This window comes from Homo sapiens, chromosome 1 (genome assembly GCF_000001405.40).
Source record: "Homo sapiens chromosome 1, GRCh38.p14 Primary Assembly".
Taxonomy (NCBI): domain Eukaryota; kingdom Metazoa; phylum Chordata; class Mammalia; order Primates; family Hominidae; genus Homo; species Homo sapiens.
In genome coordinates, this window is record NC_000001.11 from 178499756 (window position 1) to 178524325 (window position 24570).

At 47.6% G+C, this 24570-nt stretch overlaps 1 protein-coding gene and 1 long non-coding RNA gene across 9 annotated transcripts, besides 1 other annotated feature; one reads left to right on the plus strand and one right to left on the minus strand.

The window, feature by feature from the left end:
• Nucleotides 1-1702: 1702 nt before the first annotated feature.
• On the minus strand, nucleotides 1703-13295 carry LOC101928866 (uncharacterized). 5 transcript variants are annotated; one of them, XR_001738305.2, is made up of 6 exons: nucleotides 12887-13295; nucleotides 12321-12527; nucleotides 11226-11301; nucleotides 7295-7724; nucleotides 6400-6545; nucleotides 1703-1786 (listed from the first exon to the last, which is right to left on the minus strand). It is a non-coding gene; the product is annotated as an uncharacterized LOC101928866 (long non-coding RNA). The 5 variants fall into 5 exon arrangements; XR_001738307.2 differs by having other exon boundaries at nucleotides 7295-7407; nucleotides 11226-11304; XR_922305.3 differs by lacking the exons at nucleotides 1703-1786; nucleotides 6400-6545 and having other exon boundaries at nucleotides 6744-7724; nucleotides 11226-11304.
• Nucleotides 1892-2336: a silencer, noted in NCBI's record as "S4 fragment used in the reporter construct". NCBI's record gives its function as "represses activity of a beta-globin enhancer-driven SV40 promoter in transfected K562 erythroleukemia cells {active_cell/tissue: K562}" and the evidence as "EXISTENCE:reporter gene assay evidence [ECO:0000049][PMID:30886051]".
• A 58-nt stretch (nucleotides 13296-13353) lies between the features above and the next one.
• On the plus strand, nucleotides 13354-23755 carry TEX35 (testis expressed 35). Of its 4 annotated transcripts, none has more exons than NM_001170722.2 (9): nucleotides 13354-13496; nucleotides 14272-14322; nucleotides 14945-15013; nucleotides 16104-16160; nucleotides 16860-16919; nucleotides 20617-20681; nucleotides 20918-21119; nucleotides 21467-21509; nucleotides 23547-23755. In NM_001170722.2, exons 1-9 carry the CDS (start codon nucleotides 13434-13436, stop codon nucleotides 23582-23584), a joined length of 648 nt encoding a protein of 215 aa, NP_001164193.1. In that variant the 5' UTR covers nucleotides 13354-13433; the 3' UTR covers nucleotides 23585-23755. The 4 variants fall into 4 exon arrangements, with proteins under 4 accessions (NP_001164193.1, NP_001164195.1, NP_115502.2 ...); NM_001170724.2 differs by having other exon boundaries at nucleotides 13354-13472; NM_032126.5 differs by lacking the exon at nucleotides 23547-23755 and adding an exon at nucleotides 22570-22895 and having other exon boundaries at nucleotides 13354-13472.
• The last annotated feature ends 815 nt before the right edge of the window (nucleotides 23756-24570 follow it).

Genomic DNA, 24570 nt, shown 5'->3' on the forward strand with positions numbered 1-24570 from the left:
GGATCACAGGGTCAGGAGATCGAGACCATCCTGGCTAACACAGTGAAACCCCGTCTCTACTAAAAATACAAAAAATTAGCCGGGTGTGGTGGTGGGCGCCTGTAGTTCCAGCTACTCAGGAGGCTGAGGCAGGAGAATGGCGTGAACCTGGGAGGCGGAGCTTGCAGTGAGCCGATATCGCGCCTCTGCACTCCAGCCTGGGGGTCAGAGCAAGACTCCGTCTCGAAAATAAATAAATAAATAAATAAATAAAATAAACTCCCCTTTATATATACATCTATCCTGTTAGTTCTGTCCCTCTAGAGAACCCTGACTAATACAGTAGCATTTGCTATTATTATTCTCTTTAGATTGCAGCTTCTACGCAGTGCTCTGCCTGGTACATAGAGACCTTAAATACATGAATGAAGGAGATGGCTTGAACAAGACACAGAGGGCCGATGGTGAAGGCGGGGGAGGACAGCCTTGGCACCCAGTGTGTGAGTTACATTGGTGGCTGTGCCAGGAAATCTAGGCAAGGGTCAAAGGAACCAAGAGTGAGGGAGGAGCAGGCTTCCTAAGTGGCCCAGGAACAAACACTTGGTTTGCATGAGCTACAGGAAGCCAAATGGTTCAGGGAAACTCCCAGCCACTCTTTTCCTATCCCCGAACACGGGAATGCCATTTTTACCCAGGCTTAAAGAACCCTTCTTTATAGACAGACAACTTTCACTTTCCTACAATCCACACCTTTTCTCCCAGAACCACCAGATCTGCATTCCCAATGTGGGAGCTGCGTTTCCCACAGTGCTTTTGCTAAAGTTGTGTGCCGTGGCCGCAGTACCCCTGCCAACCATCGGAGCAGGCACAGTGGAAACAGCCCTGCGGCCAGCTTGAGAGATTTTCTCTGAGCCTTGATTCTTCATCTACAAGATGAGAGTCAACATAGCTATTTGACAATGGCATTACGGTATCATGAGGATTCCTTGTCATGAATATGATGCACTTTACAAATTCCAGTGTGCAGGAAACACTTTCTTTTCTAGAGTGGGTGTCTCATTTTCTACTCCTACCCCAATGTATGATAATCCCAGTTATTCTGCTGCCTTGATAACCAGTAAAGCAACTTAGCTTTCACTCTGAGCGCTCACCCTGCCAAGCAAGGAAGAAATTAGAGCCCCTCTTTTTTCAGGGCTGTTCCCCCAACACACACTCTCTTGCACACATACTCACAGGCTGTAGAGAAAGAACAAGAGACTGGGTCTTGCCTTGGGCCTGTCTGCACTGCTCACCACTGAGACACCCGTTTCCAGTCCTTAGGGTGACTTGAGGTCAGCCAGCTCTGCCATGGATGAGCCACCCCAGTGACGGAGGATGTTCTGAGAATCTGGGACCCCCACATGGCTGCTCCTCTCTGAGGTCCTACTCCCGCCTAGGGCTCTGGGAAAAAAACACAAATTACTACCTAACAAGCTTATCCTGCCTCGTGTCTATAAAGCACTCAACCTCATCCCAGACCCATAGAAGAGGCTCAGCTAGACTTCCTTCCATTTCTTCAGAGAAAGGAAGGTTTTCTCCTCTCCCTGTGGGAGGCGCTGTGAACTGGAGACCAGGGCTGTGCTCTGAGGGCAGTACGGGGACAGCACCTGTGTCCTCCGAAGGCTCCATCAGCTGCGTGGGTTCAGATCATCCTCAAGGACCGCAGGACCTCAAGCTCGGCTGCACTTTGTTCATTTTGTGGACACTGGAGAGCCACAGGCCATGTCCCATTGGATGGAGGGGCAGCTCTTAGGAACACCTGCCCACCCTGAAAGGTAGGGTGTCTGCGGTGAGGAGCTTGTTCCCTTTATTCCTGCTCCCTGCTCTGAACTGTTTATTCGGCTTGTAACCTAAATCTGTTTCCACATCCTCTGTTATAAGTGTGGGTTGCCATGCCTGGCAAGGAGGGGCAGTCGGTATATGTTGACTGAATGAGTGGTTGGATAAAAATGATTTCCTGCTGATGATTGTGTGGGTTTGGACATGACCTGTGAAGTCGCCTGTGCCTCGTGGGGCCATTTCTGCCCAAGGGAAAAGTTCTGCTCTAAATCCCTATGCAGGCAGGGAAAGCAGGGGAGCAGCTGGGGCAGGTCACTGGGGTACTTCTGGAACACTTGGATCCCTTGGCGAGAGCCTCTGTTCTTGGGCGCCCCCTAGGGGCAAACACTCAGTACTGGGCAGCCAGACCGGCTTCCTTCAACCTGAAGAGCCCTTTTTGCTGGTGGGGGAGAGGAAGGGTGAACCCTTGCATTCTAAGCTACTGCTGCTTGTATCTTTCATTTATTCCACCCCCTTCCCCCTGTTTAAGTGCTGCTTTAATAGCTAGTCTTAAATAGAAACAATTCTACTTGATTCCTTTACAACTAAATATTGAGTTAATACTAGGTACCTAATTTGACTATTTTTCTTCCCATTAACCTAATATGTATATTATCTCTGATTTTGATCCTCTTACCTTTCAAATTACTAAATTCCTTTTGTTTTATATAACTGTTTTGGTCTTTTCTGTTCTGCTTCATATAATTTTCTTCAGCAAGTATTTCATACCAATAGCTTGGTTAGATACATGATTAATTTCCTCTTAATATTTTATTTATTTCAAGTATTCATGGAAGGGGGAAGGAGGGAGTGGGTTGGGTACACACCACATGTGATGGGTGCCTCTGAAAAAGCTGGCTTCAGGGACAGTGCAGGGACCGCCACAGGAGCACCTGTCCCTAAAGCCTCCTCCACCCCCCAACTCCCACCCCAACATACTTCTGAACTGGGTCCAGAGCCCTGGGGGTGGGAGTGGAGCCATTAAAAAAGGGAAGCACTGGTGTCTCTGCTAAGTGGAGCATCCTACCCTGCGAGATCCTGGGACAGGAGTAAGGACTGGAGGGTATCGTCCCCAAGAACTAGAGGCCTTTGGGGGCACTTAGGGTTCACAAGGAGCATGTGTCACACCCTTCGCATGCTTTGCCTTATTTAATTCTTAGAAATAAAATGTTAAAACCCTATGAGGTAGGTACTGTATAATATCCGATTTTACAAATGAGGAAACAAGTTCAGAGAGGTTAAGAAACCTGCCCAAGGCCATGTAACTGGTATGGCAAGGACCTGGAGTTTAGAGCAGGGCTGTGTGATATTACAGCCCAGGCTCATTTCCCAAGGCTGCTATTCCAGGACCCGCCTCAGGCCAACTGAGTTATCGGGGGAAAGGATGGAGTCCCTCCATCCACACTATGCAGATGACCCTCCTGCATCGGGGCATGGCCTGGGAAAGCAGGGATCATGTCTATTTACTCATTTTTTTAAACCACAATTTTACAAATGTCAAGTGGGAAATGCTGTCACGGGGTGCAGTGGTCAACACAGTCCACCCCTCTACTCCCCAAGCAAGGAAGGTGGAGGGTGTATGCCCCTCGGGGAAGAGTCTGGGGTGCAGGTCAAATGTGCTGGCTGTGTAGCCATGGCTCCCCCATTTAGCTGTGACTTCAGAAAAGTTAACTTCTGAGTTAAACAGTTTCCTCACCTGCAAAATGGGAATAGCAGCAGTGTTTATTTCTTAGGGTAGTCATGTGGGCTAAATAAACACACACAAGGCCGGGTGTGGTGGCTCACGCCTGTAATCTCAGCACTTTGGGAGGCCGAGGTAGGCAGATTGCCTGAGCTCAGGAGTTCGAGACCAGCCTAGGCAACACGGTGAAACCCCGTCTCTACTAAAATACAAAAAACTAGCCAGGCATAGCGGCGTACACCTGTAGTCCCAGCTAGTCGGGAGGCTGGGGCAGGAGAATTGCTTGAACCCAGGAGGCAGAGGCTGCAGTGAGCTGAAATCATGTCACCACACTCCACCTGGGCGACAGAGCGAGACTCCGTCTCCAAGAAACACGCACATACACACACACAGGCACGCACACACACAAAAAAAATGCTTGCTCAAGCCACTACCTGGTTTGTGACAGTGGTTCCCTGTATCCCAGCAGGCAAACCATTGACTCTAAGGACCCACAAGGAAGAAGACTGGCAGGGCCACTGAAACACATTGAAACAGAGGATGCAGGCCCCAAGCTCCTCATCAGTTGCCCTTTAGCAATGGGACAGATCAACATCTCTTTAAGCCTGAGCCATCCACCCTTCCATGAGGAAATGGTGCCATGTGTCCCCGGCCCCTAAGCTGCTCTCCCATTTGGCATGAACCAAGCTGTGGAAACGGGTTGAGGAGCAGCAGGAGGCTGCAGAGGCGGGGCCAGGGGCTTCCCCAGGAGGGGCCATACATGGAGCTGGGGTTTGCACTCTTGAGAGGATGTCTGAGAGTGAGCTCAGGAGGGGCTGTGGCAGGTGCAGCTGTGGCTGAGGACTGCTCAAGGGAATCTGAAAAACGGGATATTCCATCCTGGAAAAAGGGGCTGGTGGGGGCGTGGGGTTTAGACAAATACCCTTATATTAGCCAGGTGCCAGGGGAGGAAACACCACGAATGAGAGCAGGAGGAGGTGGGGGCTTTAGAATGTGCCCATTCCCATTCCTATCACTGAGCCAAGAGAGAGAAATGTCCTTCTGGGAGACTTTGCCTTGGTATCAGGAGCCATGGGGCTGGGTGAACTGCAGGTCTCCAACAGGGACAAAGGGAGGAAGGGAGGAGCTGGCATCCCAACAGCCAGGGGACAGGATCTGAGTGGAGGGGCCTGAGAGCCCCAGAGCTCCTGCTGGAACTGCCTGAGAAGGAAGGTCAAGAGAGGAAGGTCCTGCAGTCCACCCAGTGGTCAGCTACCCTGAGGCTGGGCCGTAAGCGCCACAGCTGAGGGAGGAGATGTGCTCTGCTCAGGAGATGAAGTGACGGGTCAAGAGGGAGGAAGGGTGGGACGTCCAGAGGAACAGCAGGATGAAGGCCAGGTAAGGTTATTGCATCAGTGAGAGGAGTCTCATGGACACCAGGCCAGCACTTCACAGTGTCCTTCCTGTGGACTTCTGTGGCTCCCATTTTCTTTTTTTGTTTGTTTTTTTGTTTTTGAGACAGAGTCTCACTCTGTTGCCAAGGCTGGAGTGTAGTGGTGCAATCTCAGCTTACTGCAACCTCCGCCTCCTGGATTCAAGCAATTCTCCTGCCTCAGCCTCCTGAGTAGCTGGATTACAGGTGCATGCCTCCATGCCCAGCTAATTTTTGTATTTTTAGTAGAGATGGGGTTTTGCCATGTTGGCCAGGCTGGTCTCAAACTCCTGACCTCAGGTGATCCACCCGCCTCGGCCTCCCAAAGTGCTGGGATTACAAGTGTGACCCACTGTGCCCGGCCGGCTCCCATTTTTCTTATTCTCTGAGCACTGACAGCTGAAGGAGACAATACTCAGAACCCAAGGGCTGCTGCGTTTATGAATAGCCCATCATTTCCTGAGGCAGGAATGATAGGACCTCCAAAAACAAGAATATGTTAGCTGCCCAGACCCCCATGTGGTGAAATGTCAGTCTGACACACACAGCTCAGAGAACACCTTGTTGTTCAACAGTCTTAGAGGATGTGTAGATTTCCGTCCAGTCCAAACTGCTGTGTGCAGTGACAAGGCCAGGCAAAGGTGCTCTTGGGCCAGTGGAGCAGACAGAGGGCTGATTTGGTATGCAGCATGCCTGCTGGGACAGGTGAGCATGGTCTCTGCTAGAAGAAAGAGCCATTTGATATGACAGGGGCACACTGCCCCCCCAGGGCCCAGCATGGACAGGAGCTCCCCATGATGAGCGGAGGGGGTGTGCCGTCTTCAGAGGCTCAGGCAGGCAATGGGACTGGCAAAGCCTGGCATTCAGTGGCCCTGCCTGGCTCCTGCAGTGGATTCAGAGAAGCTAGGATTCAGAGGAGCTAGGATTCAGAGGAGCTAGGATTCAGAGGAGCTAGGATTTAGGGGAGCTAGGATTCAGGGGAGCTAGGATTCAGAGGAGCTAGGATTCAGAGGAGCTAGGATTTAGGGGAGCTAGGATTCAGGGGAGCTAGGATTCAGAGGAGCTAGGATTCAGAGGAGCTAGGATTTAGGGGAGCTAGGATTCAGGGGAGCTAGGATTCAGAGGAGCTAGGATTCAGGGGAGCTAGGATTCAGAGGAGCTAGGATTTTGGGGAGCTAGGATTCAGAGGAGCTAGGATTCAGAGGAGCTAGGATTCAGGGGAGTTAGGATTCAGGGGAGCTAGGATTCCGGGGAGCTAGGATTCAGAGGAGCTAGGATTCAGGGGAGCTAGGATTCAGGGGAGCTAGGATTCAGAGGAGTTAGGATTTTGGGGAGCTGGGGTATTGGGAAGCTCACCAGGCCAGGAATGAGGTCCAGATGAACATGGCAGAGACCCAGCCCCAGTAGCTGGGTTGTGCTCCTCCTCTGGGCTCCCTCAGTTCCCTGAGCCTACCGCAAGCATCACACTTACCATCTTGTGCTAAAATGGTCAAATGATGCCTCTGTGAGCCTCATGGATGGTGAGTTCCCAGGAGCCAGCACCATGTCTTAATTACCTGTGTGCCTTTGGTGCCTTGCAGAGTGCTTGACGCATGGTAGATGCTCAGGAAGCCTGTGCTGAATGAACATGGGAATGGGTGTGGTGTCACCTGCATGTTGAACTAGAGCTGCTTGCTAAGAGCCAGCCTGGCCCGGAGCCTGGGCCTGCCAGCGAGCTGTGGGGCTGAGAGCCAGGCAGGCCCCGGGATCCGTGTTTCTCTGGCTGGGTTTCTCTGGATGATCATCATGGTCTTTCGAGGGATGAGGGCACAAGAAGGGGATCAATGGGGTTTAATCAATAATTAGATACAAATAAATTCACATGTGTGTTTAGGGGATTTGGCAAATGAGTGCAGCTTGCTCTAGCGTTTGATTCAATCCAAGTTGTCTTTCCCTAGAGGGCAATTTTCACACATGTTGCCACCCAGAAGAGTAATGTCACTTATGCCTCTTCCTCAGCTTTAAGTCAGAGTCCAGGGCCCCAGAGGGTTCATCTTGAAGTGTTGGTTTGTCACATGGCTCAAGAACACCTCAGAGTCCCATGTAGGGAGGAGCCGGAAGCGTCAGGAAGCAGGCTTCTGTTGGCTGCTCACTGCACAAGCAGGGCTGCTGGTGAAAGTGCATGCTGGGTGAGCAGATAAGATAAGGATACCTCAACCCTCTGTGAGGAAAAGGCTGTCCCAGGTGTCTGGGTGCAGTAAAAGGTCTGATGTTTGGCTGCAGAAAACCAGCCAAGTGAGAGCATTTGTGGAAAAAAATCATGAGAGGCTTAAACAGAAACACATCGGGCTTCCTTTTGCTCATGGCCACGAGTCGAAATTACCTACCCTGAGAATTCACGACATGGCACGAAGTAGACATCCTTGATGTTTGCATAGGAAGTGTCCTCATGGGTCACCAACCAGGAGTTACCTCTGCACACCTGGGCATCCCCAAAGATCTACAATGACCAGGAACATGCGGCCAGCTCTGTCAGTTAGGTTCTCAGTTGCAAAGAGAATCCACATTCAGCTGGTTTAATTGTTGGAAGGACTAGAGAATAAGGCTGGACTCTAAGCTTCCAGCAACAATGTTCGGAGCCACCTCGGAGATGGGCTGATTCAGGGAGCTGGCTCCCTCGCTCCACTCACAGAGGCAAACAGGATGCCTCGCAGGGGTTTCTTCAGGGCGTGACTCAGAGCTAAACACAACCCAATCTTATGTCCAGCATATCAACGTGGATCTGGATGTATATTGTTTAACTTTGTTAAACCTAAACTAGAGAAGAAAAATATTTTGGCATTAAATGCGAGAGGAAAATAGAATCCATTGAATTCAAGTTCTAGAAAACCACACAGCCTGTTTATGAGCATTCTACCAATGCTCTTTGCCAACAAGAGAAAAAATCCACAGCCCTGCACAGGGCTCAGTGATGTAACAAGAAGAAAGGAGCAAACCACCTTGGAAACTGCCTAATTCTTAGTCTTTAAATGCACCCAGATGCTCCCTACTCACCACTCAGTCACCCAGGAGAACCTCCCAGGCTGGCTATGTCTATGCTAGCATCAGTTCCCTCACTTCTCTCATCTCCCCTGGGTCTCTCCACCAGAGCTCTCAGGATCTGCCTTTGGCTTCTCTGTTTGGAGACCCACTTAACCAGTTTTCTTGAGCACATTGACCTCAGCTCTCTACGTGACTCTTGGCTTTACAAGTTCCCTCACTTTTATCACCACCCCACAGCCCCAGGTAAGAGATGCTCTAGGCCAGGCGCAGTGGCTCATGCCTATAATCCCAGCACTTTGGGAGGCCAAGGTGGGCGGATCATCTGAGGTCAGGAGTTCGAGACCAGCTTGGCCAACAGGGTAAAACCCCGTCTCTACTAAAAATACAAAAAAAAAAATTAACCAGGCATAGTGATGGGGTCCTGTAATCCTAGCTACTTGGGAGGCTCAGGCAGGAGAATAGCTTGAACGTGGCAGGTGGAAGTTGCAGTGAGTTGAGATCATGCCACTGCACTCCAGCCTGGGTGAAAAGAGTGAAACTCTGTCTTAAATTAAAAAAAGGAAAAAAAAAGAGAGAGAGAGAGAAATGCTCTGTCTCCAGCCTAGGCCCAAACCCCTACCAAGAGAAGAGGATTCAAACTTTCTGGGCCAATGTTCACATGGACTCAGCTCTGAGGTCCTAATGACCTCGGGGGCAGAACGTTCAAGGGAAGGAGGTAAACCAGATGTAAAAGAGTCAATGGCCAGGCTGACCCCACTGGATGCCAACCAGCAGTCAGTATCTCCGGGTTCTGAAAAACTTGGCTCAATCTGAGTCATTGCCATGTTCGGTGGGTGGGGCCTAGCATTTGGCATCTCCAGGCAGGAATCAAGTTCAGGTGGCTTCATGGGGCTGGACACAAAGGTTCAGCTGAAGAAGGTTATGGATTCTCAGCCAAGAAGACAGCAGCAGGGCCCACCCCTCAGGAAGGGGCTGGCAAAGCTGAGGCAACTTGGTTGGGCCCTAGTGCTACTCAGAGGGCTTAGAACAGCAAGAGAAGTGTAGACCAGACCCACATTCTGTGCTGCAGAAGGGCAGAAGCCTGTGGTGGGGAGGGAGGTTTGCAGGGCCTTCCACAGAATGAGACTGGGTTAGACTGGGACTGGGACAGACTGGAACTATTGCACGGGAAAGCCCTGGACAAACCAGATCATTATTCCAGTCTCTGTCTCAATGCTCCAGCCCACTGGCCATTCAGGTGACACAGAGGTGAGTCCCTAACCCTAATCCTAACTCTTCCAGTTCACATTTGCTAGGAGATTTCATTCTGTTTGAGTGTCCAGTGTAGGTTTCCTCTTCTTTTTTGTTTTTTGTTTTTTAATTAGACAGGGTCTCATTCTGTTGCCCAGACTGGAGTGCAGTGGTGTGATCCTAGCTCACTGCAGCCTTGGCCTCCTGGGCTCAAGCAATCCTTCCACCTCAGCCTCTAAAGTAGCTGGGACCACAGGCGTGCACCACCAAACCCAGCTACTGACTTCATGGATTTTGGACCTTGTAAGCTACCTCCCTTTTACCCTAAGTGTGGAAGAACTCGAAATCAAGTTTTCTTATGAGGAGACTTGTTAGAGTAGAATAAGGAAGATGAAATGTGTCAGGAAAGTATAGCGGAGATTAGCTGCCTGCCCCATAAGCCTGTCTCCTCTTATTCTTGGGAGAAACCTGGCCATATTTCCCAGCCTCTTTTGCAGTGAGATATGGCCTTGTGATTATATTCCAGCCAAAGGAATGTGAGTGGGAGAGACGAGGGCTATTCCCAGGACTAACCCAAGAAACCCTCCCATCTGAGACGTTCCACTCTCCATGGACCCTGTGTGAAGCATAGTCCCCCAGCAAGGCCAGCCCCAAGAGGCTACTGTGCCACTCAGTTTGATTGTTTCAGTGATGGATGGGAATTTGAAGCTGTCAGAGGTGGACAGGAGGCTATTAGGGGAGGGAATCTCAACTGCAGAGCACCTTCCGGCAGGGAAGCTGAGAGAGACAGGCGTGAAATCATCACTGTACTCTATTTGGGTTCCATCCAAAGAGGGTAAAGGGAACTGGCTAAGTAAGGAGGCCTCAGGAGCCCTGTTTGGCAGGAGCAGGGAGAGCCTCTGCTGGCTGGCGGTGTTGTCTTTATCTCACATGGTAGGTGCCCTGTGATGGTTGGTTGTGGGAAGAGTAGCAGTTTCCCCTGGGTCTCAGAAGGCCCTGGCAAGCATAGGCCTGTCATGGTGAACTTACAGAGAAGATCCTTCCACAATACATTTGCTCAGACTTTTCACTTGTCATTGGCTGTATTGAAATAGCCAGAGATTTACAATGATCTGTTCAGACTGTTATGTTTTGTTGCTGAAATAGAGGTACCAGGAAGTTCATATGATAAAAACTGGATATAAATTTTCCAAAGAAACAACATAATAGGATTATGATTCCAGCCAAGGTCTGATACACTATGATAAAAATGATCAGAAATTGCATAGTAATCAGTGTGCCAATGATAAAAGCTATTTCTACTCTGCTCGGAGTAAAGCTTTCCAAGGTGTCTATAAATCAGTCAAGTAGGATGACACAGGAATCAATCATATGAGATCTCTAAAAATGTCATGTAAGAGGATCTCATGTAAGATCGTCTCTGGCTGAGGGCAGCCACCCAGATACTGCAGCCTGTTGGGATGTAAACAGCCAGGGCATCCTAAGTGTGAGTCGTCTAGGTCACATGTATTGAGCCGTGTCTGTTTGAGTTTGACTGGACAGCAAAGCCTGTGGGATTCTGGGTCTTTGTGAAATGTTCCACCCTAATCAAAGGACTTTAGAACATTGGGCCCCCAGTGGTCGAATAGGCCCCTCAGCACGCATGATGTTCTCTTCATGTTCTCTGGGCCTTGACGCAGGGAGTGGCTGAGCCTGGACCTCATCATGGGCCAGACCCAGAATCACAAAATGCCAAACTCAGAGGCTTAAAACCATTTTAAAATTCCCCCCGACCCCAGCCTCCCCTCACAACACTGTATCCTTAAAACTGAAAAAAAAAAAGCAGGACCCTTGTAAAGAAAATGAAACCCAAATGATATCAACTTGGAGAACAGAGACAGGTGGCTGCTTCTTTCTGTCTGTTGTGAATATTCCTTTTCCCCCAAACTCCGATGGAGCAGCAGTGGGCTCTATGCTGCTTGCCCTGGTACAGAGGGGTTTTGCCCTGAAGGGGGATTAGGAAAAGCGTGTCTGGCGTTCTTCAAGTAAGAACGTCCTATGGCTTACCTAGAACAAAGTCACACCACAGCAATACCAACACTGCAACACTGCTTCAACCTCGTTTCTCTTGCAGGTGCAAAAGCTTCTTAAAAGAATATGAGAATCATTATTCAGACTGGGCATGGTGGCTCATGCTTGCAATCCTAGCACTCTGGGAGGCCGAGGTGGGAGGATCCCTTGAGCTCAGGAGTTGGAGATCAGCCTGAGCAACATAGTGAGACCTTGTCTCCACAAAAAAATTTTAAAAATTAGCTGGGAGTGGGGTGGCGCATGCCTGTGGTCCCAGCTACACAGGATGCTGAGGCAGGAGAATTGCTTGAGTCCAGGGGTTCGAGACTGCAATGATCCATGATCATACCACTGCACTCCAGCCTGGGAGAAAGAGCAAGATCCTGTCTCTTCATAAATAAATAATCAGTATTCAGGTTCGCCACGTGGATTCCCCCAGCCCCGCCAGAATATATCGATAAAACAATGGTGTACAATGTTTGAGAACATGAATAGTAAACGCTGTGAGAAGGCACAAGCCCAGAGCTGTGGCTCTGTAGTTAAAATTCTGCCCAAATGATAATACCATGTGTACTTGTGTATATATACATAGATAATTTTTTACTTTATAATGCAGCTTTGCATTGAGACCCTGATTTCTCTTAGACCTTCTTTCCTAATAGATAGGCCAGTGGGCTCATGTGCTATGCTTGGCTAGAAGGCAGCTCATTTAACAACTGCTCAGCCAAGCAAGGGAAGCTCTACTGCAGGTCCAGGAGGCCCCCAAGCCAAAATTAGCAGAAGGAGGTGGGGCACATTTTCACGGGGCTGGTGGATGTTGAGATGGAGTCAGTCATTTTCACTGTAATTCCCTTAGAGGAAGGGCATTCCTACCACGAGGCCATCAGATCTGAGAGGGCTGAATTAAAAGGTCCAAGGAAACTGAAAAGTTCCAGCCCCTCATTTATAAGTGGGGAAAGTGAAGCCTGGGAAGCTGGTGACCACCCCCAACTCCCTCTCCTTCCGCTGATGCAGTGGCAGACACATTCTCCTCTGGCTATGGTGGAGTAAGACCCACAGCTGTCACCAGTGTCAGGGCTGGGAAATCACCACCTAGGAAATGCATCAGAAGTGCTGCAGGTGGCTCCAGAAGTTCCAGTGGCCTCCAGGAAGGATAGTCCCAAGCAGGTGTGTGAAATGGGAGGGTAAGTGTGGTCAGTAGTGGCCTGCATGGGGATGTCATTCACATGCAATTTGCATTAGTTCCTGTACTCCTGTGCTGTCTGTCCTCAGATGTCCATGTTGGCCTTTTCTGTGCAACTAGCAGTTGAAATGAGAGGGAAGAAGGAAGTGAATGACCAGTGATAAGAGGAAAAGAGAAATCAATTTCACCAACCCAGATCCCCAGTGATTTTTTATCCCATGGGGTGCCATGTTCCTCTGACTGTCTACTTTAGCACAAACTATGGCTACCCGCAGAATGGCCTTTTCTTTAGTATTCTTCATTTGCCCGAAAAGCTTCTTATCTTTAGCTTCTTGTCCCAACCCTCTTCCCGGATGATAGAAGAACTAGGAAAAGAGAATTTTTAGGTGGGCAGGGGTCTGGGGGTGGTTGTGGGACAGGGGCAGTGTGAGGTCAGAGGCATCAGAAACCATCCTGCTGAGACTGGCTACCCCACCTCATACAGAGTAACCCAGGTTAAGTGAGACGGTGCATGCACGTTGAACCAGAGAGACTTCATGGCATCCTCCAGCCCAAGGTGGCTTCCGGTCCGAGGTGGGGTCGGTTCGCGCGAGGAGCGCACAGCAGAGGACATGGGCTGTGCGCTCAGAGGAGGAGCTGGCTGTCCCTGGAGGACGTCCTTCTGAGTCAGTAGGTGAGTCCTGCTGCAGAAGGAGCCACTGCTTCTGACGCGTGCCTTGCACTTCGACCGTAGCAGGCCATGATCCTCCTCAGTGTGGACTTTCCTTCTGTTGCAAGAGGGAGGCCTGGTGGGACTCTGAAACCTGGCCTGAACCCCTCATCTCAGTGGCCGAAGCCCCCCAGGCCTGAAGCTGTGGTGACGCTCTGGACCACCATGTGGGTCCTGGCATTGTGACCTCAGCTGTTCCGTACACAAAGGGGTGGTCACCCTGCCCTCACCTTGACCTGTAAGTTGCCTAGGACAGTGGCCTGGTCCCAGGGGCTGTTGTGGGGAGTTGAAGAACACCCTGGCCTCCTCCATCATGTCGGCCAAGAGGGCAGAATTGAAGAAAACACATCTGGTAAAAGAGAGACATTGCTGGACAGTGTGGGTCCTCTCTGAGCTCCTACTGAATGGAGATGGTGTCGGGGCAAGGGATACAGAGAATGCTCGCATGAATCTCTGGTTTTTCTTTCTCTGTACTGAGCATAAAGCAGCCTCTCAGTCTGGAAGGGGTGTGGGATTAATCCCTAGCCTTGGGGGTGGGAAGGAAAGAGGCCTCTGCTGCCTCCCTCTGGGGATGAGGAGCACTGCCAAGGGAGCACTCCCTACTCCAAGACCACTCATGGTTCCACGGCCCATGCCAGGCCTGCCAGGCCCACATCTAACCAGCAGGGCTAAGGCTCAGAATAACCTTATTAGATAAATATAATCATCACGTCGATTTTATAGATGAGGAAATGGGGGCTCAGAGAGGCTAAGCAACTCACCCAAAATAACAGAGATAGTAGAGAGGTCAGCTGAGACTATAGTGCAAATCTGCCTATGGCCAAAGCCCTTGCTCTGGAAACAACACTTCCGGGGCTTGCTTCTAGTTATCTTAAAGTGCTTTCTCCACGCTGGCGCCTCCAGCAGGGAGAGGGCTGCCTGCCAAATAGGCAGACACACGCCCATAGGAAGAGGACAGCACGACAAGATGTGATTTGTTAGGAATCGGATCCGGGTGCTGCGGGGTCTGTGAGCCTGAGCTCAAGCCAGTTGGACAGGCAGGGTTGCATGGTTGTGGGGGGCAGGGGGCAGGGTTCCCGTGCAAGGGCCAGATGTTCTCCTCCCCAATCCTGATGTCTGCCAGCCTGAATCTCAGTCTCCTCTTTTTGCAGAGCAAGAACTACAAGGCAGTTTGCCTGGAATTGAAGCCAGAGCCGACCAAAGTAAGAAGCCCTTTTGAGGCCATGCAGGCAGCCAGGCCTGAGATCCATGGGGAAGTGACCAGGAGTCAGGGGTCATTTGCTGATCCTAGTGGCCAAGATTTGTCCCAGGTGCTGGGGGATGCACTGAGAGTTCTTGCTCTCATAGAACTTCACACTGTAACCAATCAGATACATAAACGAACAAGGACTCATTCAGCAGTGTTACCTGCTCTGCTGGGAATCAAGACAGGGAGACATGTCTGAGTGGCTGCCGTGGAGTGGGTGGTAGGGAAAGGCCTTCCTTTGAGCTGAGAGCTGAAGGACAAGACTCTGGCTTTGCAAAGGCAGAGTAAGAGCCTTCTAGGCAGAGGAGGCAGCATGCACTGAGGCCCAAGGTGGGAATGAGCCTGGCTGTTCAAGGGACAAAAGGAGCTGAGGCCCCGTGGGCCAGCAGGGGAGTGGAACAAGATGAGCTGAAAGAGGGAGGAGGATAGAGGAACCTTCTGCACAGGTGGGGCCACCAGCTTTCCTCTTGCCTTAGCCCTAAGGGAGGAACAGAAACACAGGGGGATCTCTTCTGCCTCTGCACTTCCACCGCCCATCTGCAATTCCCAAAGGTCTGTGTTCCTGTTTCAATCCACAGACATTTGATTACAAAGCAGTTAAACAAGAAGGGCGGTTTACCAAAGCAGGAGTGACACAGGACCTAAAGGTGAGTGCGTGAACTTGGAGGCATGTCTATATTCCAAACCACGTGAGTGTAAGTTTTCCCCAAATCCTCAGTGCCTGTTTCCTAAATACAAGAATATCCTCTTACATAGGCACAGTGCAATTATCAAAATCCAGAAGTTAACACACAGACAATACTCATCTATAGCCCTTGTTCTAATTTCACCAGTTGTCCCACACATGTGTTGCATAACAACAGAAAGGGGACGTTTTCTGGTCTAGGGTCTGATCCAGGATCACACATTGCCTCGAATTACCAGGTGTCTTTTCTATAATCTGGAACAGAACAGTTCTTTTTCTTTGGGTACACTGACATTTATTTATTTTTATTTTATTTTTTGAGACAAGGTCTCCCTCTGTCGCCCAGGCTGGAGTGCAGTGGCATGATCTAGGCTCACTGCAACCTCCAACTCCCAAGTTCAAGCAATTCTCCTGCCTCAGCCTCCCGAGTATCTGGGACTATAGGCGTGCACCACCATGCCCAGCTAATTTTTGTATTTTTAGTAGACACAGGGTTTCACCATATTGGTTTTGAACTCCTGACCTCAGCTGATCTGTCTGCCTTGGCCTCCTGAAGTGCTGGGATTACAGGTTTGAGCCACTGCACCTCGTCTGGGGACATTGACATTTTTACAGATTACAGATCACTTATGTTGTGGGATAACCCTCAATTTGGCTTTGTCTGTTGGATTCCTCATGATGAGATTCAGGCTGTGCATTTTTTGGCAGAGACACATGATGCCTGTAGGTCCCACTATCTTATAGTCTTTTTAAAACATTAATTAATTAATTAATTTTGAGATGGGGGTGGGGGTCTCGCTATGTTGCCCAGGCTGGTTTCAAACTCCTTGTTTCAAGTGATCCTCCCGCCTTGGCCTCCCAAAGTGCTGGGATTACAGGTGTGAGCCAGTGCACCTGGTCTATCCTATTGTCTCAACAACATCTTTTCTTTCCTCCCTATTGAAAGCTTTTCTCTGACAGTGTCCCAGGATCTTTCCTTTCCTCCTGTTGATGGTTTCCCCTCCATCCTAGATATTTCTTTCCTCCTTCTCTTCTCCATTTTATTTCCTCAGAATGAACTCAGGGAAGTGAGAGAAGAGCTCAAGGAGAAAATGGAGGAGATAAAACAGGTAAGAAGATGAGGCCTTCCATATCATGGAGGGAAAGTGTAGCTTCAGGAAAAATGCAATCCTTAAGTTTGAATAGTGAAGGAAAGCAGGAATTGCATGGAAAAATGTAACTCAGTCCTAATACCCAGAGCACTTCAGTATTAGGTTATTCACTTCTTACTTGTTTGATGCCTAAACCCAATTTTTGAGTGACTGAGGACTCCCTAAAGTGTCTCTTTGGTAAGGGTGGGTGATGTCACCTTAGTGATGAAGCTGAGTAAGAGGGGCTGATTTGGAATATGAATTTAGGGGAAGTCAGGGACCAACCCCATCTTCCTTATTCACTTCCCCTGAGCAAGTTGCAAAGCAGGAAACCTCTCATTTCTATGATACAACCAACCAACCACCTGTAGCATCCTTAGGAAAAAAGCGAATAATCGAGCAAGAAAGTGTAATCGAAGCTGTGGTTCAAGCTCCACATGCAGTCTTGCAGTAGCCAGATCTAAGCCGTGCCAAGGCTGATGGTGGTGGTGACTTGATGGTGCTTGCACCCTAGTCCCTTCACAGACTCCTTGAGAAGAAAGTGGCTCTAACAGGCCATTATTAGTCCATGCCAGAGAAGCAGCCACTGCCCTTTGCTTAAAATGCCTGAAAGATGCCACAACTAACCTCAATAACATGCTCTGTGCTTTGTCAAGCCATGCCTTTCTTCCTTGTTAGATAAAGGATCTAATGGACAAGGATTTTGATAAACTTCACGAATTTGTGGAAATTATGAAGGTAAGCATTACTTGAGTGCCTTCCATGGGCCAGTACCATACTGGAAACTGTGGAAGAGACACCAGCAGACCCTGCCCTCCAGGAGCTTATTATCTACTAGTAGTCCCATATTCCATTGCAAGAAAGCATTGCAAGCCAAATAATTAATTCGTTGTTTGCTAGTTAGGGGCTTAGAGACATGAGAAATGAATGCGGGTTGGAGTAAGCAGCGAAGTCCTTACAGAGAAAGTGAGTCTCAAGTTGAGCCTTGAAGACTGCATGGGAAGCTTAATGCAAATCTCATCAAGAGCCCAGTAAGATTCTTTTTTAACTCAAAAAATTACTAGGATGATCTAGATTCTAGAGCAGTGATTGACAACATGTGGTGTGTTTCAGAATCACCTGGAACACTAATAAAACAGAGCCTGGGCTCATGTTCAGATGGTGCTGGGCCCTTGTAGTTTAGACAAGTTCCCAGGGGAAAGACTGAGAAGCATAAGCTGGCAAAAGCAAATAGGTACCCATTTTTCAAGAGTTGTAAGGGGACATTAGCCTTACCAGATATTAAAATTCACGATAAAAACAAAGTTATTAAATCAGCCCAACGATAACCAAACACATGAATGAAATGGGATAGATAACGCCTCAACAGCCTCTCTGCCTGGGATGTAATGAGAATCAGTTGTGAGAATTTTAAAACTCCATTTACTTAGACCCTTTCCCAGAGGAACTGAATAAAAATCTCCAGGGTGGGCCGGAGTTGCTTAAAACTCCGTTTAGATTCAGATGCTTGCCTGTGGATGAGAACCAGGTCCTAAACACTTTAGCAGCAGTTACTAACCTTGGCTGCACATTATAATCACCTGGAAAGCCTTTCACCTATGCCCTCCCCATCCAGGCTACACCTCATAACGATTAAGTCAGAAGCTCTTAGAATGAGGTCCAGACGCCAGTGGGTTTTAGTTGCCCAGGTGATTCCAGTGTATACTCAAGTTGAGAATCACAGCTCTATAGAATTTACAATATGATAAAGGTGATTTTTTGATGTCAGTCAGAAGGAAAGGATTAGGTAGTAATATTAGAAACATTGCTTGACTATATGAAGAAAAAACTTAAGCCAGTTAACACTGTAAAGCTAAATAGTCTATGAAGTGATTTTAAATAATAAAAACCAATAAGAAGAAATGTTAAGTAAATATGTAAATAGAAGTTCTAAATATAAATACAATGGAAGAAATTACAAAGGACATATTGATATATTTAACTATGTAAGATTTTTTTAAAAGAATTATGACAGAAAAATCACTTACATTTACAGAATTAAAGAAACTGTTTGGGGGAACATTTTTCCAAAAATATAAGCACAGAAAAAAGGTTTTTATCCATAACATATAAAGTTCACATAAATCAATAAGAACTAAGTAGGAAAATAGACGAGTGTGAACAGACAATCCACAGAAGAGAATATAACTAAAAAGCAATAAACATATTAACAAAGGCCTGACCTCATAATTAAATACATGCAAATGAACAATCAATTATTGTTACACTCAAGCAAAATTTTAATTTATTACAATTACAGTATAAGACATATAAATGCTCTTATACTGTTAATTAGAGTGCAAATTTGTACAAAACTGGAACATTGTTAGACAATAGATATAAAAAAATCAACCTCTTGATTTGTCAATTTCACTTCTTAGAATTTAACCTATGAGAATAATCAGAAACGCCATCATGGGTATACATAAAAAGATGTTCATGACAGGATTATTTGTAATAATAAAAATTTGGAAACGACCTCAATTTTCAACAGTAGGGGAATGGCCAAATAAATTATGAAATACTTATATAATAAAAGTTAGGAACTATTAAAGACAATGTTTAGAAAGAATATTTATAATAAGAACTAAAAAAGCAAGATACAAGTAATATACATAGGCTGATCTCAGCTAGGTTAAAAAAAATAAGCAAATATATAGAAAAAAGACTGGAAAGAAATATACCAAAGGGGTTCATAGCAGTTATTTCTGGATGAGAATATTCATACTTTTATATCCCTCTGTACTGTCCAAATTTTCTACAAAGGGCATGCATTAATTATTTCTCTGTTAAAATCCAAACAAAGTTAAGTGTTTTGTTGGTGGGGAGGCTGGGTATGGAAAGGCACAAAGGAGGCGATTTCAGGCAGGGGAACCCCTTAAGCAGGGCAGGAGGCAGGAGGAGTATGTTGTATATGGTGGTCAGCACGGGGATCAGTCATGAAGTGGGACCACTGGGGGAAACTGTGAGGGAAAAAAAAAATGAATGGGCACAAAGGCTGTAGGTAATGATGGCTTTTGAAAGACATGCAGACAAGCTAGGACTTGGTTCTGTGAGCAGCAAGAGGCCTCTGGAGATTCTTAATCAAAGAACATTCTGGGAGGAGCACTTCAAAAAGCTTAGCCCGGCAGGTTTTGTTTGCAAGGCGGCCTGGGTGGGGCCCAGGGAGCAGGTGGAGATGTCTGACAGCAAGAACACCACAGCTGGACCAGGTGTAGGGAAAGAAGGAAGAGATAAATCTGAAAGATGCACTGAGGGAAAAATAACAGTTCCTGGTGACTGATTCAATATGGAGACTGAAGTCTTGAGAGGCAAGCGTCCGTGATGACACCAAATTTTAATCTGGTTGATTAAAAGAAAGTGGTGACGATGACAATGACAGTGGGGAGATAGAGGTAGCTTGGGAAAATGAAATCAGTTTGGAACATGATGATTTTGAAGGGGTACATGTTGGTGAAACGTGTAAGAATATGGGACATTTTGACTCTGATGTTTTGGACCTAGGGGACATTGACTTCAAGGATATTTTGACTCTATGAATACAAATATTTTATTCAAATTTGTACTAACATTTAAAAATGCTTTTCAAGAAGGTATTTTATGAAATCATCTCTATGCAGATGGTGTAATTTCTTGATCAATTTTCTATAGTACATCAATTAAACTGTTACCAAATCTTTCATTTTTAATGAAAATTATTTTATTGGAATAAATTGTTTTTATTTCTGTTTTATGACAACCCAAACCTGTTTTTCTCTGTGACAAATATTGTCAGTTATAGCTTCTACCATCTTAGAATTTTTCTCATGTCCACTATTTCCATTCAATTTACCCAGGTCACATTTTATAGATCAAAACTTTGTCAAGATTTTATTATTCCTTCTGTTCTGAGCGAATAATACGTGTGATGTATCCCTTTAGCTGCTGTCATTTTACTTTTTGTTGACCATCTTTGCCAGGAATTAGGTAAAAGATGAAGCAAACATAAATATGCAGGATCTGGGTGCATGCCAAGGGTCAAAACATTGCAGTCAAATTGTCTTTGGGGTCACAAGATTGGTCTTCTTGGTTCCATCATTTTATAGGCATCAAACCAAGGCAAGCATTGGTTTTATCCAAAGTGTGAGATCAGATAAAACAGTAGCTGGCCTCTGGCTCACCTAGAGACTTCAGAAAAGTCCCCTAATGTCTCTGCCTGTGCTTTCGTCTCATTGGGGAAGGGGGATGAGGAAGGGGAGAAGCTGTACATGTCACGGACACTCCAAAAGCCACCTCACCCAAGTCTAGCGAGGATTCTTGAGGAAGTAAGATGCAGAATGGTTTGCAGAGAGGCAGGAGGAAGGTATTTCCAAAGTCCTTCAAAATGAAGATGCTAGTTCTGAATTCTCTCTCGAAGGAAATGCAGAAAGATATGGATGAGAAGATGGACATTTTAATAAATACACAGAAGAACTATAAGCTGTAAGTGTAACCTGCACTCGTCTCTCCTCATCCCTAAAGGGTCTCCTCCCTTCCCTTTGTTGGATCCCTTTGGGGTTCAGAGGACACCCAGACTCTTGGAGGAGTTGTCTTTGCTCCTACTGCCCCTGTGACTTGGAGTCAAGGCCTTCCATGGCCACCCGTGTACTGGTTATCTCCTTGTCATGCTGCAAAATGTCTCCCCAACTCTCTGCCCCTCCCTGGCCCTCCTCCCCCAGTCCCCTTAGAAGAGCACCAAAGGAGCAGCAGGAACTCAGGCTGATGGGAAAGACTCACAGAGAACCACAGCTCAGGCCCAAGAAAATGGATGGAGCCAGTGGAGTCAATGGAGCACCCTGTGCTCTTCACAAGAAGACGATGGCACCACAAAAAACAAAACAGGGCTCACTGGATCCCCTTCATCACTGTGGGACCTGCTGCGTAAGTGAAACCCTGCCCGAGCCCAGCACTGGTGCCAGACCCCTGGCTCCGGCTCCCTGGTGACTTCCCCGAGCTTGTGCTGTATCATAGTGAAGGGACAGGTCCGCCCGCTGCTGACTTCTGGGTGCCGCCCGAGCCTGCGCCCTCCCTGACCTGCCTTGCCTTCTAGGCCTGTGGAGCCTCCTTAGCTGTGACCATGCAGGACTTGACCCTGGATGGGCCTACCCGCCAGCTCCACCCTCTTATTCTGTCCTTCCCTTTAGCAAGGGCAGATAAGGTGCCTAGCAGGCTGCCCTTCTTGGACCAGGGGAAATTGATCTTTCTTGTGCCGTTTCTGTCCTCTGCAGGAGAAATGTTTGTTGTGTGCTCTAAAGAACAACTACAATCGGGGTAGGTAGATTCATACAAGATGTGCCTTTTCTCGATCAGGTGCCTTGTTGTCCCCAAGGCCATGTGCTCCCAGCCGCATTCACATCACACCCCTCCTGAGGTTGTGCCAGGAGTAGGGACTGTTAGCAGATGCTGCCACCCAGCATGCTCAGTCATACAGGATGTGGCACCAGGAAGGAGGACTTGGGTCACCCAGCCTAGAGGCTGCTGCCTGGGGCTCCCATGGTGGGGAGGGTGCACCACTAGTGGCGGAACTGACCTTGCCTCAGGTCCTGCCCTTTCTCCCCATCCAGTGGGAAATATTCACACCAGGTCTGGGCACCCTTTTCACCCTTGGCTTCTGGAGCTGCCTTCTGATTTATCTGTACCTCAACCCCGGTGACATCGAATATGTGTTTCCAACCTAGCGCAGCTGCAGAACCTACCAGCAGTTCCGATTCATCACCTCCAAGCTCCTTAAGATGCACAGTCAGGGCTTCTTGTCCTGTTAAATACCACCCCAACCCCAGGCCTCCACTGGAGATTAAAAACCTTCATTCAAAGCCAAAGGGGATGTCATGGTTTTGAGTACCAGTCCAAAACTTGAGTGTGTGGAGGTTGATTATTTTTGGTTCTATATCAGTGTATTTCAGACTCCAACCCTTCCCCCTGCTTCCTGATGGATTGGTGGGAAATTACATCTTAGTCATCTTAGGGTCCTCCCAACCACCACCTCCCTCCATTCCACCTGGGTCTGCAAACGTCCCAGGTCATAGCATGGGGAGGGCCCCTGATGATAGCGGACGCCAGTCTGTGTGGTCTCAGGAGAGACCCTGCTGCCTGGCCCATCCGCTCCCTCCACATAATCAGCCTCCACCTGTGCATGGGGCCAGGGTGTCTTGGGTGATGCAGGGAACCCCTCAGCCTCGAGTTCTGCCTGCACCACACCCCTCTGAGGTCTTGTCACCAAGCAGGACTCAGGTCCCTGCTGCTCATAGGAACTGGGTAGCTTTCTTGGGTTCTGGGGATCCACCCTTCTCACCCCCTTGAAGGTTTCCTCTCCCTCCCTCCACCCCCAAAGGGAACATTCCTTCAGAGGCCTCAGGCCTTTACAAAGGTGGAGAGGAGCCAGTGACCACCCAACCTTCTGTGGGCCACGCTGTGCCTGCCCCAAAGTCCCAGACTGAGGGAAGGTGAAGCTTAACTGCCAGCTTGAAATGAGAGTAAAGAAGATACAGAGCAAACAGTGTTTCAGAAACTGTCCTGCCCTGGGTGTGATTCTTTGGCTTCAATTTGAAGGACGAGGAATGATGGGATTTCATATTTTATTTCACACCAGTTCCTCCTTGTTTCATCTCTTTGCTAAGCTGGCTGCTTCTACCATCTAATAAATAATTGGCCAAGTTCTTTTTTTTTGGAATTTTATTATTATGGTTAATTTTGTGGGTTCATAGTAGGTGTATATATTTATGGGGTACATGAGATGTTTTGACAAAGTTATGCAAGGTGAAATAAGCATGCCATGGAGAATGGGGTATCCATCCCTTCAAGCATTTATCTTTGAGTTGCAAACAATCCAGTTACGCTCTAAGTTATTTGAAAATGTACAGTTATTGACTGTAGTCACCCTGTTGTGCTATCAAATGGTAGGTCTAATTTATTCTATTTTTTGTACCCCTTAACCATCCCTACCGGCCCCCAAGCCCCTGACTACCCTTCCCAGCCTCTGGTAACCATCCTTCTACTCTATATCCATGAGTTTCATTGTTTTCATTTTTAGATCCCACAAATAAGTGAGAACATGCGATGTTTGTCTTTCTGTGCCCGGCTTATTTCACTAAACATAATGATTTCCAGTTCCATCCACATTGTTGCAAACGACAGGAGTTCATTCTTTTTATGGCTGAATAGAACTCAATTGTGTGTGTGTACGATATTTTCCTCATTCATCTGTTGATGACACTTAGGTTGCTTCCGAATCCTGGCTATTGTGAACAGTGATGCAACAAATGTGAGAGTGCAGATATCTCTTCAATATGCTGATTTTCTTTCTTGTAGGTATATACGCTGCAGTGGGACTGCTGGATCTATGGTAGCTCAATTTTTAGTTTTTTGAGGAACAACCTCCAAACTGTTCTCCATAGTGGCTGTACTAATTTACATTCCCACCAACAGTGTACAAAGATTCCCTTTTCTCCGGGTCAAGTTCTTAATGGCTGCAAATTAATGAGCAATGTATTTGGTGCTTCAGATAAATATTTAAAAAACAAAACTCAAAACACATGTAGGCCTTGTTTGCAAGGAGCTTATAGCTTTAAAGGTGAGATGGCAAACATGCAGAATAACAATATGGACCGTGTAGAAATAAGTACAATAATCATAAGCATGTGATGAAAGCAGAAATGGATCAGAAATAGGGAAAAGAAGAAGGGTGGGCAGAACTCTGTATTAGTTCCCTATTGCTGCTGTCACAGATCACCACAAATTTAATGACTTAAGACAACAAGAAATGGGCCTAAGATGGATCTTGTTGGGCTCAAATCAAGGTGCCAGCACAACTGCATTCCTTCTGGAAGCTCTAGGGGAAAATCTGCTTCCTGGCCTTTCCCCACTTCTGGAGGCCACCTGCCTTCCTTGGCTGATGGTCCCTCCCCATCTTCAAGGCCAGCAATGGCCATGGGATCTTTCTTGTGCCTCATCACTCTGACATTGACTCTTCTGCCTCTTGCTACCACATTTAAGGACCCTTGTGATTACATTGAGCCCACCTGGGTAATCCAGAATAATCTTTTTATTTTAAGGTTAGCCAGTTAGCAACTCTAATTCCCCTTTTCCAGGTAACATAACATATTCACAGGCTCAGGGAGTTAGAACATGGACATCTTTGCAGGACATTATTCTACCCACCACAGGGGACTTCCCAGACCCTGTCCCTTGACTACCAAGCCTCCAAACACTTGGGAACACTGCACTATTCAGTTCTGTGCTGTGGTGGTTTTAAACTAGGCCCACAAATTCTTTGATACTCCTTTTATACTCTTTCCTTCAAGAGGAACCCAGTTCCTCTCCTCTTAAGTGTGGG